Source organism: Homo sapiens, chromosome 2, assembly GCF_000001405.40.
Source record: "Homo sapiens chromosome 2, GRCh38.p14 Primary Assembly".
Taxonomy (NCBI): Eukaryota; Metazoa; Chordata; class Mammalia; order Primates; family Hominidae; genus Homo; species Homo sapiens.
In genome coordinates this window covers 201,961,299-201,965,140 of record NC_000002.12, presented here as the reverse complement: position 1 = coordinate 201,965,140, position 3,842 = coordinate 201,961,299, and the positions used below count along the sequence as shown (strand labels likewise).

Sequence of the window (3,842 nt, the reverse complement as noted above, 5' to 3'; positions counted from 1 at the left end):
TTTTGTCCCTGGGCATTCATTTCTCCTGAGTAGCTGGCAGCCCTGTGTTTAGCAGGGAGAGAGTGGGCTCTGTCATTAGTTTCTGTTTCTCAACTGACCCTCTCAGGTTGTCCCAGGGGCATTGGGAGGGCAGCTGGGTGTCAGGTAAGTCCCTGCCACCTGCTTCTTGGCTGATACTGCAGGACAGAAAGAGAGTGTAACAACCTTTTCTTCAAAGCTAGAATCCAGCTAACTCTGCCTCGGAAAAGTGCTGACACACAGCCCGGATGTGATCAGACACATTTCTTCCATTTGCTGCTGCTCTCGGTGAAAGCTACTGGTGTTTGATGAGCGGAAACAAGCCGCCCTGCTGAGATTTCCTGCCAGTGCCAAGTGTTTCTGCCAAGAGTGCTGAGCGTCCACCATGTTGAGGAGGTGCTTTTGTGCAGTCTGGCTCGATGAGATGCCTCCCTGTAGATGAGTGGGGCCTGTGGCATCCCCTGACCATCTTACAGATGCTCAGGCTAGAGCAGAGGCCGTTCATTCTCCACCAGTGACCATGTTCAAAGGGATGCGTGTGTGTGTGTGTGTGTGTGCGCGCACACGGCACGTGCATGTATGGATACATAGACATCGTGAAACCCATGGCTTGTGTGGAGCAGGGAGAGTCTGACCCTTTTTATGCTACCCTGAAGCTTTGTTTGGAAATACTTACTTTACCTGTGACACATTTTTGAGGGAAAAAGTGTGAGAGATCCAAGGAGACCCAACCCTGAAGAATCTTACAGCCACTTCTTCAATGGCATTTCCTCTGTCTATAATACTGTGCAAGTCTCTGTTGGAGCCAAGAGATGCCAGTAGTTATCTTGACAATTCTGTGGATCCCTACGAGACCTCCTGTGCTGTTGGGAAATGAAAACCTGCAGCTGGGGAGCCCATGGATGGGGCTGAGCACGCCCTCCCCTCCCACGTTTGGTGGTGTATTAATAACTGGGATAATTGCACCCCTAATGATCCCAGCAACAGTAATTTCTCTGGTGCACCCAGAAAAAAGCCTGCGATGCATTGACAAAATGACTTACAATTAAGACCCTTTCTGGGACTTCCAGGCCAGGTCTTTGCAACACTTTCTATTGTAAGCCTCTGTCCCTTCCATATATGAGCCTGCCTGGGCCCAAACTGCTCTGAACCTCACTGCCTTTTTCTCTTTCTGCCCCCAAATCCATTTTTCTTGAACAACCATGAAGGGCTGTAGTCCACAGAGCAATAGAAAGGACTCTCCATACAAGTTCTCCTTCATTCTAGCAATAGAGTATAATTTTACAATCTGCCAGGATGGCAGAGAGGAATGGGGAGGAACTCTGCCCATTGTCTTGGCATCATGGAAAATTTCCCCAGGTATCCCTGTGGAACTCTCCCCTGAAATCCAAACAAAAAGCACAAAGGCCAAGCCACACAGGAGCAGCACCACTACCAAATTTCTCAGAAGTTACCATGGATAAAAACTGGAATCCCCATTGGTTTTTCTTTTTAAAGCACAACTTTTATTAAATACCACGAGTTGGCCACTGTTAAGACAATGGACCTGTCCAAGCATCTTGTCTAGGAATCAAGGGAAGAAAGACATTGTGGGGCCCAAGAGCAGATGAATTGCTCCCAAGAATAGAAAACAAATGAGCCGAGGTATAAATGGTTGGAAAAACAAAAGGAAGATATTTCCTGCACAATGCAGACCATTGAACGGAAGGGGGCCGTGGACAGAGGCTCAGGTCGTGGGACCAGCCGAGGAGTGGTGGGACAGGCTACATGAGCTGTCAGCACACAACGGAGTTGAAGTGTCTTTTCCCCCATGCCTGTGATCCATGAAAACGCTGTGCTTCTCTCATTTTCTTGCCACAAACTGTATCTGCTCTGCTGCTAGCAGCTTTGTGGCTCTAAAAGAGGCAGAGATGTCAAGGTCTGACCCACACCCCGCTGGCTCCCACTCCTGGCCTGGCTAGCATCAAATGTTCACAATGGGCACAGGTCGTGACTTTCTTTCTGAGACCGGACTGCATCGAGGCCTGTGGCTAATTTCAGTGGAACATATGGACTCCTGTGTAACTTGACCTCATTGTCCCTGTTTATAATGGAGCCAGCAGGAGCACCACAATGGTCCTGGCCATCCCCACCCCCCAGGAGGCGTGGTTGAGGGTATTCCTTTCTCTCTGGAATACATGATCATCTTGCCCTCGGGGCACATTCACTAAAGTCATTATGGGGAGACATGTCTGTGGACAATGAGGAGCTCTGGTGTGCAGGGAGGAGCTTCTTCTGCCTGGAGCAACCAAGACTCAGTCCTCTTGTGGCGCACTGGAGGAGGCCACTAGGCAGGATTTGGGTGGGGAGGGGACAGTCTCCACCTTCCCATCCCCACCTCCCCATCACCACCAAGACTGGCCTTGCTACCCATTGGCAGAGTTCCTGGATGACCTCTTCTTGTGGTGATGGTGGCTGTGGGACTCTTGTTCTTCAGAACTTATCACAGTTAACTCTCAGTCTCCTTGGGGAGACCCAGCCTGGGAGAGGAGTTCTGCACTGGGAGATAAGGTCCAGGCCTCCCACCAAGGACCAGAATCACTGAATGCCTGAGATGGAAGAAACCTTAGCTCCTGATTCCAGTATTTTGTTTCAAATGAATAAATAAGGCCCCTAGAGAAGGGTAAGTGGCCAGTCTGTGGTCACACAGGTAGTGTCAGAATCTGGATTAGGCCAAGATCTTCCTTCTGGAGCACCATGTAAATCCTCAGGTAACATAGGGGCAGTTGTTGAGGATGCTGGCATCAAGCTGGGCTCTGTTTGTAATGTGGACAGAGACAAATGCTTCCCTCTTGCTTATATGCATACAAAATGACAAAATAGTTTCTCTTTTCTTTTCGTCTTCTTCTTTTTTTTTTTTTTTTTTTTTTTTTGAGATGGTGTCTCGCTCTGTTGCCCAGGCTGGAGTACAGTGGCATGATCTCGGCTCACTGCAACCTCTGCCTCCTGGGTTCAAGCGATTCTCCTTCCTCAGCTTTCCGAGTAGCTGGGATTACAGGTGCCTGCAACCACACCTGGCTAATCTTTGTATTTTTTAGTAGAAACAAGTTTTCACCATGTTGGCCAGGCTGGTCTCAAACTCCCAACCTCAAGTGATCTGCCCACTTCGGCCTCCCAAAGTGCTGGGATTACGGGATTCAGCCACCCCACCCAGCCTCTTTTCTTCTTTTAAAGAAATAACTCTCCATCCAGGGAGAAAAGACCTAGCCTCAGAGGGTTAGACTGGAACTTGCCAAAATTAGGGCAAACTTATCCAAGGGTAGCGTTATATCACCCACCTAATTCTTATTGACTCTGTAGGGCTGCAGCTAATACCTATTATGCAGGGCTTTGTTTTTCCCCTAATGGGACTCATTTTCTCCCCAGATTCAGAATGAGCTGCTTGTAATCTACTGCAAACCCTTCCTTTGTAGGCCTCGTGCAGCAGAGGCCCACACCTTGAGCAGGAGCCTTAGTATGCATTGGTTCGCCTTGATCCTCCTGGGTATTACAGTTCCCTCTTCATAGAGGAGGCCCCCAGGGCCAGAGAGGTGACTTACTGGAGGCCACAGCACTAGGAAGGAGCAGTGTCAAAATGCAAACCCTAGTGTGCTGACTGCAACCCAGGTGCTCTCTGTGACATCTCTTTGTGGTCCTCTGCCTTGGACTGTGGAGGGATCGTGAAGCTAGGCAGGGGACAAGGGGAACTTAAAGGAAAAAGTCCTAGAGGCCCCAGACATCAATGCCAAATGGCAACCCGGCAGCACCCTGCTACAGGACCCAGCTTCCCTTTAACCCTGAGCCAG

General features: G+C 49.5%; 3 annotated features.

Moving 5' to 3' along the window:
• Window positions 387-476: an enhancer, noted in NCBI's record as "active region_16995". NCBI's record gives its function as "activates an Ori minimal core promoter by ATAC-STARR-seq in GM12878 lymphoblastoid cells {active_cell/tissue: GM12878}" and the evidence as "EXISTENCE:reporter gene assay evidence [ECO:0000049][PMID:35858748]".
• Window positions 1,489-1,989: an enhancer, noted in NCBI's record as "H3K4me1 hESC enhancer chr2:202827875-202828375 (GRCh37/hg19 assembly coordinates)". NCBI's record gives its function as "activates a minimal SCP1, AML or CMV promoter by ChIP-STARR-seq in primed H9 embryonic stem cells {active_cell/tissue: H9 hESC(primed)}" and the evidence as "EXISTENCE:reporter gene assay evidence [ECO:0000049][PMID:30033119]".
• Window positions 1,990-2,490: an enhancer, noted in NCBI's record as "H3K4me1 hESC enhancer chr2:202827374-202827874 (GRCh37/hg19 assembly coordinates)". NCBI's record gives its function as "activates a minimal SCP1, AML or CMV promoter by ChIP-STARR-seq in primed H9 embryonic stem cells {active_cell/tissue: H9 hESC(primed)}" and the evidence as "EXISTENCE:reporter gene assay evidence [ECO:0000049][PMID:30033119]".